Here is a 14695-nt window from a genome sequence, read left to right as displayed (position 1 = left end):
CAAAGACGCCACTGGCCACAGAGGTTTCCAGCTGAAAAAGTGACACCCCAAGAATCCTGTGACAAAACTGTCTCCTGACAGCCTTCCAGGGGACATAGGGAGGTGAGTGGGGGATGGCCTCATAGCAGCTTCATAGAGGTCTCCCTGCCTCTGCGTTCTGGGAGGATCCCGAGGTCTTCTGCCAAGACACAGAGAAGCTGTGACGCGAGCCTTTGCCCATATGGGTAACATGCAGCAGTGCTAAGGCACCATGGCAGAGCCATTGCCTACACAGAGCCATGTAGTCTTGGGCAAGAAGGGATTTGTTTAAATAAGGATTAAATCATACCCTAAAAACATAATGGCCATTTGGATAGAATCATGACGTACCTTGTAGGGAGGATGTGTTTTTGTTTTTCCTGGAAGTTTATATTGCATTAGTCACCAGAAGAGTGACATCTGGTTCTAAACAAACTGGAAGGTCATACTGGATACAAAATGAGAAATGAGTCTTGTCAGGCCTAGTGTGCAGGTCTGAGAGTAGAGAGACCTTAGCAAGGATCACAGAGCCTGAAAAGCCACTGTGGTGGTGAGGAGAAAGCATTTGGGCATTGCTGTGGGGTGTCACTTGGTACAACCAACTCAGAGGACAATTTGGCAATATCCTTTCAATTTCAAAGTCACATACCTCAGCAACTGAGCAATCTGCTTCTAGGAAGATTTCCTGTAGAAATACTCATATACCAAAGTTATTCAATGCAGCTTTGCTTAAATAGCACATGACTGGAAACCACCTATATATCTATCGTCTACTGAACACCAAACAGCCATAAAAAGAAAGAGGAAGCTTTTTATGTTTTCACATGAAAAAACCTACAAAATATATTGTTAAGTAAAAGAAGCCAGGTGGGCCGGGCGCGGTGGCTCACGCCTGTAATCCCAGCACTTTGGGAGGCCGAGGCAGGTGGATCACGAGGTCAGGAGATCGAGACCATCCTGGCTAACATGGTGAAACCCCGTCTCTACTAAAAATACAAAAAATTAGCTGGGCGTAGTGGCGGGCGCCTGTAGTCCCAGCTACTCAGGAGGCTGAGGCAGGAGAATGGCGTGAACCCGAGAGGCGGAGCTTGCAGTGAGCCGAGATTGCACCACTGCACTCCAGTCTGGGTGACAGAGCGAGACTCCGTCTCAAAAAAAAAAAAGAAGAAGCCAGGTGCGGGACAGTGAGTATATCAATTGTGAAAAAAAACTTCAAAAAGCAAAACAAATAGATTTGCTTATATATACATTAAATATCTGAAAAAGTTTACAAGAAACTGATATATTTTGTTGCCTCTCAGAAGAACTGGATACTTGGGGGAAAGGTGGGAGGAACAGTCTTTTGAAAATGTTGTATTTTTGGCCGGGCGTGGTGGCTCACGCCTGTAATCTCAGCTCTTTGGGAGGCCGAGGCGCGCGGATCACGAGGTCAGGAGATTGAGACCATCCTGGCTAACACAGTGAAACCCTGTCTCTTCTAAAAATACAAAAACAAAATTAGCCGGGCGTGGTGGCAGGCGCCTGTAGTCCCAGCTACTTGGGAGGCTGAGGCGGGAGAATGGCGAATGGCGGGCGTGAACCCAGGAGGCAGAGCTTGCAGTGAGCCAAGATCATGCCACTGCACTCCTGCCTAGGTGACAGAGCGAGACTCCATCTCAAAAAAAAAAAAAAGAAAGAAAATTGTGCATTTTTGACCCATGTTTGTAAATTATGACTACAAGTGGCTAAAACAGTCTTTGAAAATAATGTATTACGTGATGGCAAGCATTCGTCATGGGCCATTGGAGAAAGGGTCAGGCCTTAGTCTCACCTCCCACTCATCACTTGTGTGTTTGCACAAGTGATAACTTTCTTGCCTCTGAGTTTGGTTTCCTCATCTGTTTAAAGGATTCTTTTTTTTTTTTTTTTTTTTTAGACAGACTTTCTTACTCTGTCTTCTAGGGTGGAATATAATGGCATGATCACAGCAGCCTTGAACTCCTGGCCTCAAGCAATCCTGTCACCTCAGCTTCCCAAGTAGGTGGGACTACAGACATGCAACACTACCCCAGCCTAATTTATTAGTAGTAGTAGTAGAGACTGAGTCTTGCTATGTTTCCCAGGCTTTTCTCAAACTCCTGGGCTCAAGCGATCCTCCCAACTTGGCCTCCCAAAGTATTGGGATTACAGGTGTGAGCCACCGTGCCTGGCCTGTTAAAAGGATTCTAATAATGGGCTTTGGAATCAGACATCCTCCTAGAACAGGAAGGAGATTTGTAAGGAGCTGGGATTCCAAAGACAGAGCTTCAGAAGCCAGGCTGGTAATGGCTTTTGCTATTGCCCTGAGTGCCTGTTGCTCATCAGGTGTCCAAGTTGAAGATGTGAATAAAAAGAGAGAGAAAGCTGGGCTCAGTGGTGTGCACCTGTAGTCCCAGCTACTTGGAGGCTAAAGTGAGAAGATTGCTTGAGATCAGAAGTTGTGTCAAAAAAAAAAAAAAAAGAGAGGGAGAGAAAGAGAAAACCCTTACTTACTTATTCATGTCATCTCTATTTCCTCGGAATCCAGTGTCTGTCACTACAAAGACTCTTAGCCTAGAAGAAAGAAAAAAGTTCACTGTCGATTTATCCACCAATGTCCAGAGGACCATTAGACCTTCACTATAAAAATAATACAGAGAGGGGCCGGGTGCGGTGGCTCACACCTGTAATCCCAGCTCTTTGGGAGGCCGAGGCAGGTGGATCACGAGGTCAGGAGATCAAGACCATCCTGGCTAACACAGTGAAACCCCGTCTCTACTAAAAATACAAAAATTAGCTGGGTATGGTGGCGGGCACCTGTGGTCCCAGCTGCTCAGGAGGCTGAGGCAGGAGAATGGTGTGAACCCGGGAGGCGGAGCTTGCAGTGAGCCAAGATCGCACCACTGCACTCCAGCCTGGGCGACAGAGCAAGACTCCGTCTCAAAATAAATAAATAAATAAAATAATAATAATACAGAGAAAAAGTGTAATAGCAAAGAATATTTTCCTGTCTCACATTTAAAACACATGCAGCATGAGAAAGTGATATCACACCTGTAGCCCATACTTTTACAAAGAGTTTGCAAGCCCATGATCAAATTTCCTCTAAAACACAATAAGGACAGACATTAAAAACCCGAGTTTACGTGAGTGCCTGTGTTTGCTGGTCCTTTAGGATCAGCATTATAATAACCCTGTGTTTGTGTAGCATTTTGAAATTTTCAAACATTTTCATTGGCTGGGCATGGTAGCTCCTGCGTGTAATCCCAGTACTTTGGGAGGCTGAGGTGAGAGGACTGCTTAAGGCCAGGAACTTAAAATCATCCAGGGCAACATATTGAGACCACATCTCTAAAGAAATAAACAGATAAAATAAAATTAAAAAACAACACTTTCATAATCAGGATTATTCCTTACTTCTTACAACTGCCCTGTGAGATCGACAGGGTTGATACAAATCTTCCTGTTTTGATACTGAAGAAACTAGGCAAGTTAACCGGCTGGCCCCTAATCAGACATCCAAGGCTTGCCAAGCAGCGCTGGAGCCTGGATTGGAAGGAGGGTAGGCCAGGTAAAGCTGGGGTGGACAGAGCCTGGGGAGTGGAATGAGGAAGGCTTGTCTGGATGAAGCCAAGGTTTGTGTGGAGAAGCAGAGGGCGATAGGTATGGAGGGGCAGGCGGGAGCAGAGCCCAGAACACATGCAAGGCACTGGCTGTTCCTACAGGTGAGTGACTGATATCCCCAAGCTCTAGGGAGGGAGGGTCCAGGTCCTGCAGTGCCTGGGGAGGAGGGCAGCAGAGTGGGTCTCCAGCACCCCTTGCTGGGTTCCTTCCAAGCTAAGGGCAAAGCTGATAAGCACTAAGAAGGCTAAAGATGCCTCTTCTCCCAGATTTACATGTACTATGCTAGAGAACTCCTAAAATTCCCATCCTTCAAGATGCAAAGGAATTATCAGTGCACCCCACAATGGTGGGATTTCAGGCAGCAGAGAAGGCAATATTTTGTGCTCTCCCTAGCATCTCATGAATCATACCACTGAAGGGCTCTCTAGGGCCCTTGTATATAAGGCCAGTCTTGTGGCTTAACGTGACAAACGGGAACCATCCTGAATGGAAAAGCTCCAAGGTGACAGAAGGCATCTCTGCCCCTGCTTCTCCCCCAGCCCCTTTCTGTTAGAAGTCACCACCAGGAGAAGAGGGACCCCTGCTGCATGAACTCCAGGCTGTTCTGCTGGAAGGAAAGGTCAGGAGAAAGGACTGTCACCTGCCAGACCTCAGCATCAGAGAAGGGAGTCATGGACTCCTCTCTGTTCGTACTTCACTGAACCGTTGAACCTCAGGGTTGAAGAAAATGACCTAGTCCAACTACCCATCTGATGTAAGAATCACATGTTCATTCATTCATGAATTCACTCATTCATTTATCCATCAGTTTTTTGTTTGATTGATTGGCTTATTCATTCTTTCAACATCTAATGAGTAGCTACTCTGGCCCAGGCAATGCACAGAAGTTGAATAAAAGGCACAGAACCTTATCACTTGATCAGGATTCAAGCACAACTATTATTTAACAACAGATTGCAGTGTCAGTGTCAGATTTTAAAAAGAGATAGAGAAACAATATCGTAAGGTAATTTCAACAACGAGGCACAGATGGAGGGTTCTAAGCCACCACGTGTACCATTTTTCCCAGGTGGTCATTTGGACTCCGCCTGGACCTCTGGGACATGCATTTCCTGCCCATTGATTTGCAGGGCTTTCTCACCCTCAGAGTTTCCCTCCACTTACAGACAGAAATTTGTTCCTGTAGTTTCTGCCCATAGGTGCACTTCTGGGGCACCGTCCAGTTAGGCCTCTTTTTGTTATTTGGTTGTTGGGTCCCCAGGGGACAGACATTATCTTGGGTCGGGGAAGGCATATCCACTTTGGTTTCCCCTCGTTGATTTATTTAAGAGAAATATTCACCATCAAACCCCTTGTTTAATCAAAGGCTCCAGTGACTTTTAGCTACAGAAATTAAGACTTCGTTATAGCTCCTTCAGTGAGCAATTAGTGTGTAGCTTCCCTTTTTCCTTTGTTACACTCAGACTTTGACTTTCCTTCACAGTCTCTTGGGGATCCTCAGAAGATAATTCTACTGCTAAACTTCCTTTATCTTCTATTGCTAATGATTAACCACAGCAGCTCCAGGAAGCAAGAGGTGCCCCTTAAAAATACATGCGTAGGCCAAAAAGAAAGGTACGCCTAGAATTCTACACATCCAAAGTCTTATCTCCCCACCTCTCCAAAGGGAGCAGCTACTCTTAGGTTGGGTAGGCAGCTTAATATTCATTTCCCAGCCTCCGAGCACCACTTACTCTAGAGGTAGCTCAGAGCAGGTGGCAGCTCTGGGAAGTGCCTGAGAGCTCCCAAGAGTGGGTGGCTGCTCCCCAGAGGATGCTGCCCGAGTGGTGGTTCAGAGAATGATGACACATCAAAGACAGAAGGGGCCTCATCTTCAAGTTCAACCCTCTCATTTTGCAAATGAGGAAGCTGAGAACCCAAGAGAGGAGGTGATTTGCTCAAGGTCATGTAGCTTATGAACAGAGAGGAGGGAAATGTCTGAAGGAAAGACATGGATTTCCAGAGCATTAACATATGCTTTAAGGTACAGCTCCACACCTACCATCCCCAGCCCTGTGGTTGCCTTGGATAGAAAAAGATCCCTTTGTAGAGACAACTGCCTTCCAGCTCACACTGGAACACTAGAGAACTTGAACTGCCTTTATTTGTTGGTCATGATCCTTCTAAGCATAGGATCGAAACCTGCACTGCTCAATATGGTAGCTACTCACTGTATGTGACTCTTAAGAAGTTGAAATGTGGCTGGTCCAAACTGAGATGTGCTAGATTTTGAAGACTTACTATAAAAAAAGAATGCAAAATATCTCCACCACCACACCTGGCTATTTGTTTTGTTTTTTGTTTGTAGAGACAGGGTCTCTCTATGTTGCCAAGGCTGGTCTCAAACTCCTGGGCTCAAGCAATCCTCCTGCCTTGGCCTCCCAAAGTGCTAGGATTACAGGCATGAGCCACCTCACCTAACCTGAAATTAATTTAAATGATGTTTTCTTTAACCCAATATATCAAAAATACTATTTCAACATGAACTCAACATTAAAAATGTTAATAAGGTACATTATAATTTTTGTCATACTAAGTCTTTGAAACCCAGTGTAGATCATACACTTACAGCACATCTCAATTCACACTGGCGTATGTCAGGAGCTCTGTAACCACACTTGGCTAGTGGCTATTGTATTAGACTGCGAGATTCATAAAGGTGGCCTGTTACCACCTACGATATTGAAAGGATGTGCCGGCCACCTTCTTGGCCTTATCTCCAGGTGTTGGATGTTTTTTTCTGACAGTATCCAGAGCTTCATGTGAAATAGGTGGGCCCTGGGGACGTCAGGAAAGGAAGTGTTCATGTAGTGGATCCCAAGGTGTGCGGTGGGGCCAGAGTATCTGGGATGGAATCGTCACAGGGTATTTGGGATCATTTAATAAGATGATACACATAGTGTCTAGCATAGCGTCTGGTGACAGGGAATGCTCTGTGTTCATTCCTTTCTTCCCCATCCCCCCAACGCACATTTGCTGCAGCTTGGCTGGCTCCTTCTGTCAAGGGAGTTACCCAGATGAGTCATCTGCACTGCACGGCAGCGACTCGCCCAGCAAGGGGTGAAAGCACTGCTGGCTGAGAAACCCTTTTCAGAAACTTCCCACGTTTTTGGTGCTTACTCATCCAGAACTCTCTGCAGCCCGCAATGGGATTCGAACTGCTTCCTCCTTCTCCCTATGCTCAGAAAGGCTGAGAAAAGGAAAAGCAAATCAGATTCCCTAAGCCCCCTTGAGCAGATGAGTTTCCCTAAGACCTAAGCAGCAGCTGGAAGGCACAACTGCGCTGTCCACTCCGCAGGGGCCTGGAGGTGCCCCCCAACCCTGGCCAAACCCTCCAAAGCCAACCCTTCCCCTGGGCTCCTGGAAGTGCTCATTTGAAAAAGGAGGAAATGAGGTCACAAAGGCTGATAAGAGATGGCCACACGCCTCATGAAAAATGCACATGCACAAGGAAACATCATGACACATCAGGGCAGGTCGGATGGTCAGGACTTCCTGCCATCCCGCTGTCCCTGCCGCTGCCCGTTCTGAGTGGCCGGTGCCCATGCCACACGAGTTGCTATTTGAATAGTGCCTCTGGGTGAAGACGCCGTCACTGAGCCTCTCAGGTGCCTCCAATGCGCTATTACTGTTCAGGCTTCTGGGCCTCACACCTGCGACTTGCTTGCCAGAGAGGCCCCTGTTTTCCTTCCCATTTCTCCTTTTGTCTCTTCTCCACCAGATTAGAAAACAAAAACAAAGCAAAACAACCTTCCTCTATAACTCGCCTGGCCCGCGCCCTTGGAAGAGGGACCCCGTTAGACTCTCTCACTCTGCTGGCCTGACAGGGAACGGTCGCCTGAGCCAAAGACGGCAATGCGCATTGGCTGACTAGTGACTGGGTGGCCTGGATTGAAGAACTGAGCTGGATCAATCCGAGCGCTGTTTCTCTCTAGAATTTGAATTAACTCTACAAGTGGCCAGGGAGTGATCAAACAGACAAAAACAAAGCGAAGGGCATTAGAAGTTTATCTGAATTGTAGGCTTGGGGGCTATGGCCACCGTTTCGGGATCATTTACAAGCTGATGAGTGCATGGAAGGGGCTGATGTACAGAGACTGAAACAGCAGACAGTCACAGAGTGCGGGGCTGCGGGAGGGGAGGGGGAAGGCCCGACTGTGGAGGGAGAAGATTCTAGACTTCTCAGTGTCCCTTTGCGGCTCAGTGACCCTGGGCTCCATAACTCATTTCCTGATCTCGGGCCCCATGAGATCCCTCAGTCCTCTCAGTAAAAGCTTCTTTTTCACCTTTGCTAGTTTGAAGAGATGTTTATTCCTTGAAGCCAAAAAAAGCCATGTCTAGAGTATCATCCTCTGAGACTCAGATTGAACGCCCCTGCATGAGGAGACACCAGCTCTACCTGGGGCTCCTCTGCGCCTGCACAAGCCCCTGCCACTGCCCCACTGTCCCTGCCATCATCGCTTCACTTGACTGTCTCTCTCTCTGGGTTCTCAGCTCCTTCAAGGCAAGGGTACAGGTACGTCTTGCCTTGTCTTCCCAGCACCCAGCACCCAGCACAGCACTCGCTAAAGTATTAGTTGCCCCACAGATGAGTGTTAATTGAGAAAATAAAGTGCACTAGTGTTGTAAATCTCCACTCAAAATTCCTTACCTTTGTGTGGCCTTTATGGCCCAGGCTTTAAATGTATAGGTTACCTGATCAACCTTGCTATACGTTTTTATTTTGTTAGAATGATACAGATTTGAACCAGCTGCTGGGGAGTGTTTCTGGGGCTGTCCTTCACCCGACAAGTAAGTGCAGTGGGGAATAGAAAAGACGAGTGACTTGCCTGTCATCAGCCAGCTGGTGACATCATCATCTCTTGTCCCTGAATTTGGTATTTTATTAAGATTATGAAGAAATGCCCATAATCTACATCCATGTTTTTACCTCCACCTTAATGAATGAGTTGCAGTAGTTCCTCCAAAATGGTGAGACAATCCTTGAAGGCTTTTAGTCCCACCTCTGAGAGCCCTCACATTGCACCAGGGACCAAACAGTGAATCCAGGACAAGGTCTTGAAGGACATGGTCTCTCTAGGAACTAGGGCAGCACTGCCAGCTCTTAGCTTCGCATCAGCAGGTGTCTCCCTGGCTGTTCTTCCGGGCCTGTACCTCTCACAGAACCATTGAGTCAGGCCTCTGAGCTCAATTCAGACTCAGCCATTCCATTCTCTTCTTCCTCAAAGCATTTCCCATCATGTGTCATCGCCACCAAGAATGCTACAAGCAACAAGCAAGGTCTAGAAGCAAACATCATTCCTTCTCTGCTTATACTAGCCACATTTTCCCCTAAAGCACTAATGTGTGGGATGTTTTTTTCCTCAAAATGTTACCCTTTAATCAGTATGCTCCTAATAAGAGAACAATTCTTTACAGAATTTTAAGTAGAATCCCCAAATTCTAAGCGTTCACATTTGGATTTTTTTCTATGTATGAGATATAGGCCGGGCACAGTGGCTCATGCCTGTAATCCCACCACCTTGGGAGGCTGAGGCAGGAGATTCACTTGAGCCCAGGAGTTCAAGACTAGCCTTGGCAACATAATGAGACACTGTCTCTACAAAAAATTCAAAAATGAGCTGGGCATGGTGATGTGTGCCTGTAGTCCCAGCTACTCAAGAGGCTGAGGTGGTCGGAAGATCACTTGAGCCGGGAGGTTGAGGCTTCAGTGAGCTGTGATCACGCCACTGCACTCTAGCCTGGGCAACAAAGAGAGACCTTGTCTCAAAAAAAGGGGGAGATCTAGAATACTAGAAACATATATATTAAACAAATATTCTGGGTACAATCCAGTAATTAATATGTTGAAAATCATCTTAGCATTTTGGAAAACCCAGAAAGCTACCAGGTTTAACAAAAAGAATGGCTCATCCTATCATTCTGCACTCAGACCTCCACGACAGCTCCAGCATGCAGCATTTTTGACAAATGCAAACTGCTTCTTGAAGCTCCCATATAAGGGGGAAGAAATCTTCAAATTATAATCAAATTACAATAAATACTGTTTTATGCGCCACAAAAGTCACTATCTTTATTTTTTAATTGAGGTGAAATTCATACAACATGAAAATTCAACATTTTAAAGTGAACAATTCAAGACATTTAATACATTCACAATTTATGCAACCACCACCTCTATCTCATTTCAAAATAATTTCATTACCCCAAAAGGAAACCCCAAACCCATTAAGCAGCCACTTCCTATTATCCCCTGGGACCATTGCTTGTCCCCCCAACCCCAGGCAGCAACCCATCTGTGTCCTACCTCTTGGATTTACCTATTCTGAATTATTTTTTAAACATTTAAAAAAATTGTAATAAGAATCATATGTCATAAAATTTACTATCTTAACCATTTTAAGTGTACAGTTCAGTATTGTGTTCACATTGTTGTGAAACAGATCTCCAGAACTTCATCTTGCAGAATTGAAACTCTGTACCCATTAAACAACTCCCCTTCCTCCGCCTCTCAGCCCCCAGTGACCAGCATTCTACATACTTTCTATGTCTACGAATGTGACTACTTTAGATGCCTCATATTAGTGAAATGCTACAGTCTTTGTCCTTTCCTATTCTGGATATTTGACATAAATGGAATCATACAATATGTGATCTTTTTGACTGTCTTCTTTCACCTAGCATAATGTTGTCAAGGTTCATCCATGTTGTGGCATGTATCAGTACTTCATTCCTTTTTGTTGCCAAATAATATTCCATTTTATGGATGTACCAGTTTATCCATTCATCCGTGGATGGACATTTGGGTTGTTTCCAATCTTTGGCTATTATAAATAATGCTGCTATGAACATTTGTGCCTGAGGTTCTGTGTGGATAGATGTTTTCATTTCTCTTGGGTATATACTTAGGAGTAAAATTACCGGGTCATATGGTAACTCCATGTTACCATGAGTTACTGCTAGATTGTTTTCCAAATCAGCTGCATCCTTTGACATTCCCGCTATTAGTGAGTGAGGGTTTAAATTTCTCCACATCCTCACCAACACTTGTAATTACTTGTATTTTTCATTACAGCCTTCCTAAGTGGGCGTGAAGTGATATTTCATTGGGGTTTTGACTTGCATTTTCCTCATGGCTTATTGGTACTACAAATGTTTTGGTTAATGAAAGAAGAATGAATTAATGAATTCCATGAAAGCAACAAGAAAGCAGAGGGAACTCTTGGCCCAGTCTTTGCCATCTTTTCTTTAGTGTCTGACTGAATGACTTTCCTCAGCTCCTGGCCCACCAAGGTCTCTGGTGGCTCATTCAGCCATTAGAAACCAAGCAGATCACAATGCCCATCCAACCAATGCATCAAAAGGTCAGTCCAAGAGACTCAGGCCTGCAGGAATGTAGAAACAAAGGAGGGGACATTCTTTTTTTTTTTTTTTTTAAGTACAATTTCCATTTTATTTTTCTCCAGAGAACAGCCTGTCTTCAGTCTTTAAGAACTCAGCTCCTCACATGGGCTTTGGTGGGGGACGTGGGGCAGCACCCGCAGGTCTAAATCGGGGTGGGGGTGTTCGGTCCTTGCGGGCTTCACGAGATCGATTCCTGACTACTTTGCTGTGAATTGCACAACTCACACAGTAATGTAGCTTCACATACAGCTTGGGAAGCACATAGGCATCGAAGACGCTCACTTCAGAAATGTCCCTGACTGCTGCGGCCTCCACTATGTTTCGAATGACGAATTTCTTAATGGCCTTGTCCTTGGGCACGCATCGGGCACAGTTAGTGCAGCGAATAGGCTGCACGTGGCCGCGGCCCTTTTTGGCACGACCATTGTTCCTTCTTTTCTTTGTCATCTTGGAGGCACGGACCGGAGAGAGCAGAAGGGGACATTCTTATCTTTACAGCTTTCAGCTAGAGGTGGAACTGTCCCTGTTAACGGGCATTTTGGTTATCACAATGACCGGGGTAAGAAGAAAGTCAGCACTGGCATTAAAGGGGAGGGGTCAGGGATGCTAAATGTCTTGCAATGCATTGCAAGGACAGTCTTCCCTAAAGAAATACCTCCACAAAATGCAACTACGGAGGCCAGCCACTTCTCAGGAAATGCTCCAGTTATTGGAAAAAAATCAGGATTACATCAGAGCAAATCAAGGGAGGGACCATTAAACCAATAGAGAGACTGCATTGAGGGCTCACTGTTCAACAGACTCTGTGTGCAAAGAACTGTGGTGTGTGTTTTTTCATTTTATTCTCATCACAGCATGTATTAGACAGCTCAGGCTGCTGTAACAAAAAAACCGTACACTGGGTGGCTTAAACGACAGACATTTATTTCTCACAGTTCTGGAGGCTGGAAAGTTCAAGGTGCTGGCAGACTCACGGGCTGTTGAGGGCCCTCTTCCTGACTTACAGATGTCCATCTTCTCACTGTTCTCACATGGCAGAGAGACAGTAAACTCTAGTCTCTCTTCCTCTTTGTATAAGGACACTAATCCCACCATGGAGGCCCCACCCTTATGACTCTGCCTAGCCCTAATCACCTCCCAAAGGTCCTACCTCCAAATACAATCATATTGGATGTTAAAGCTTCAACATACAAGTTTTAGAGGGGGATACACTCAGTCTATGACACACATTAACAATGTATATTCCCAGTAAGTAGGGTAACTGAAACCATGAAGAGGTGAAATAGCTGCCCAAGGTCACACCATTAATAACCAGCCAAGTTGGAATTTGGAATTGGATCTGCCAGATTCCAGAACCCGGATTTTAGCCTTCCTACTGTGCTCGGTCTGATCAGATCATCCATTTAAACCCTTGCTTTGGGAGAATTGCAAAGGTTCACCTCCTGGCAGGCAGAGAGAGGGAAAATAATTCCCTAGTCCCAAAAGCAGAGAATGATCTTTACAATCATCTAAGTCCAAACCTTCATGCTAGGGTCAAGAAAACTGAGTTCCGGAGTGGGTAGTGAGTGGCCCCTAGCTGGGCAGAGCTAGAATTAAAAAGCCCCACTTCCCTGACCTTCATCAGGGACATTTGTACCACTGCAGGCCAGCCTGGCTGTAGGCCGTAATGACTGAGTCTTGACTCTGTGCTCCATTTGACAACATAATCAATACTCCCCTCCCACTGTCAGCAGTCTATGACATTGTCTATGACCTCGTTCATGCCCCATTCTTTCCGCTCTAAGACTCCAAAACGACAAGTTGACTGTTTTATAGGTTTGTTTTTAAACTATATTTTAACATAAGGAATGAATCTTTTCAGGAGTGAAGACAGGTAAATTGAGACCAAGCAGCAGAGCCTACAGCATCCTTGACTATTTCAGGACTGCCTTCGACAACTCCATAAACCAAGTGACACTCTTTTGGAATCCCCTGTTTTGTGACACCTCCCCCCTATATGGAGTCAGAAGACTTGGGTTGGGATCCAATGCCAAATGATTACTTGGCAGATTATTTTTTTCCTTTCCGAGATTCTATTTCTCCATTATCATTATTGGAAATAATGATATTTACTTTAAAATAGAGTTGTAGTGAAGATGAAACAATTAGACAAAATAAACCAAAGCTTGTGAGAAGACAGCCTATCCTGTGTGCTCTGGACCTGGCTCACTTCCAGTGGTTCGCTAATGGCCTCTGGGGGACCACTGGTCACCATCTCACCTCAAACCAGGTCCCTTCCAAGGGCATCTGCTTTGTCCTTGTCACTTAAAGTGCTTCAACACAAGAATTATGGTGTATTGATGCTACTCTGACAGGCACTGAGGTTGGTAAGTGGGGCAAGAGAGTCTACCTGTTTCCCTAGGGAGGCTGTTACCAACATTGTCAGCCCATGTAGGAGGCCTGCCATCCACCTTCCATGTGGCCCAGGCCATGGAATAGGGACTGAGCATTGCACTTGTAGGGACAAGCACACTCTACTTTGCTTCACTCTGCCTGGCGGTCTCTGTTCTCCCTTCCTATCCCCTTTTACACCCTGGGTAAAAGTAGGGAAGGAATAGACATGCCCTGGTATGGCAAGAAGACCAAGGACTTCTCAGCATGGAGATGTGAACTCAGGGCTGGAGCTTGGCTCCACTGCTTTCCAGCTGTGTGACTTAGGAAAATGACTTCAACTGTCTTTACCTTAGTTTCCTCATCTGTAAAATGGACATAATAATAATTCCTATATCACCAGACTGTTGTGAGAATAGAAGAATATGTATATTTCCAGTTATCTATTGTTGCTGCTATGTAACAAATTAGCCCTAGATTTATTGGTTTAAAATACAACCATTGGTTTTCGCTGTGTTGGCCGGGCTGGTCTCCAGCTCCTAACCGCGAGTGATCCGCCAGCCTTGGCCTCCCGAGGTGCCGGGATGGCAGACGGAGTCGCGTTCACTCAGTGCTCAATGGTGCCCAGGCTGGAGTGCAGTGGCATGATCTCGGCTCGCTACAACCTCCACCTCCCAGCTGCCTGCCTTGGCCCCCCAAAGTGCCGAGATTGCAGCCTCTGCCCGGCCGCCACCCCGTCTGGGAAGTGAGGAGCGTCTCTGCCTGGCCGCCCATCGTCTGGGATGTGAGGAGCCTCTCTGCCTGGCTGCCCAGTCTGGAAGGTGAGGAGCGTCTCTGCCCGGCCGCCGTCCCATCTAGGAAGTGAGGGGCGTCTCTGCCAGGCCGCCCATCGTCTGAGATGTGGGGAGCGCCTCTGCCCTGCCGCCCCGTCTGGGATGTGAGGAGTGTCTCTGCCTGGCCGCCCCGTCTGAGAGGTGAGGAGACCCTCTGCCTGGCAACCGCCCCGTCTGAGAAGTGAGGAGCCCCTCCGCCTGGCAGCCGCCCCGTCTGAGAAGTGAGGAGCCCCTCCGCCCGGCAGCCGCACCGTCTGAGAAGTGAGGAGCCCCTCCGCCTGGCAGCCGCTCCGTCTGGGAAGTGAGGAGCGTCTCCACCCGGCAGCCACCCCGTCTGGGAGGGAGGTGGGGGTCAGCCCCCCGCCCGGCCAGCCGCCCCGGTCCGGGAGGTGAGGGGCGCCTCTGCCCGG

At 46.7% G+C, this 14695-nt stretch overlaps 1 pseudogene, besides 6 other annotated features; it reads right to left on the bottom strand.

Moving 5' to 3' along the window:
* Positions 692-831: an enhancer, noted in NCBI's record as "active region_27721". NCBI's record gives its function as "activates an Ori minimal core promoter by ATAC-STARR-seq in GM12878 lymphoblastoid cells {active_cell/tissue: GM12878}" and the evidence as "EXISTENCE:reporter gene assay evidence [ECO:0000049][PMID:35858748]".
* Positions 5416-5675: an enhancer, noted in NCBI's record as "active region_27720". NCBI's record gives its function as "activates an Ori minimal core promoter by ATAC-STARR-seq in GM12878 lymphoblastoid cells {active_cell/tissue: GM12878}" and the evidence as "EXISTENCE:reporter gene assay evidence [ECO:0000049][PMID:35858748]".
* Positions 6287-7486: an enhancer, noted in NCBI's record as "P300/CBP strongly-dependent group 1 enhancer chr8:101912042-101913241 (GRCh37/hg19 assembly coordinates)". NCBI's record gives its function as "activates an origin of replication core promoter dependent on BRD2, BRD4, P300/CBP, MED14 and CDK7 cofactors, with strong dependence on P300/CBP, by STARR-seq in HCT116 cells {active_cell/tissue: HCT116}" and the evidence as "EXISTENCE:reporter gene assay evidence [ECO:0000049][PMID:35650434]".
* Positions 6373-6532: an enhancer, noted in NCBI's record as "active region_27719". NCBI's record gives its function as "activates an Ori minimal core promoter by ATAC-STARR-seq in GM12878 lymphoblastoid cells {active_cell/tissue: GM12878}" and the evidence as "EXISTENCE:reporter gene assay evidence [ECO:0000049][PMID:35858748]".
* Positions 6563-6642: an enhancer, noted in NCBI's record as "active region_27718". NCBI's record gives its function as "activates an Ori minimal core promoter by ATAC-STARR-seq in GM12878 lymphoblastoid cells {active_cell/tissue: GM12878}" and the evidence as "EXISTENCE:reporter gene assay evidence [ECO:0000049][PMID:35858748]".
* Positions 11113-11560, bottom strand: RPS26P6 (ribosomal protein S26 pseudogene 6; annotated as a pseudogene).
* Positions 14007-14685: an enhancer, noted in NCBI's record as "H3K27ac hESC enhancer chr8:101904843-101905521 (GRCh37/hg19 assembly coordinates)". NCBI's record gives its function as "activates a minimal SCP1, AML or CMV promoter by ChIP-STARR-seq in naive H9 embryonic stem cells {active_cell/tissue: H9 hESC(naive)}" and the evidence as "EXISTENCE:reporter gene assay evidence [ECO:0000049][PMID:30033119]".

The sequence above is a fragment of the Homo sapiens genome, chromosome 8, assembly GCF_000001405.40.
Source record: "Homo sapiens chromosome 8, GRCh38.p14 Primary Assembly".
Classification (NCBI taxonomy): domain Eukaryota; kingdom Metazoa; phylum Chordata; class Mammalia; order Primates; family Hominidae; genus Homo; species Homo sapiens.
The sequence above is the reverse complement of the archived record's forward strand: the minus strand, read 5'-3'. Positions and strand labels throughout refer to the sequence as shown.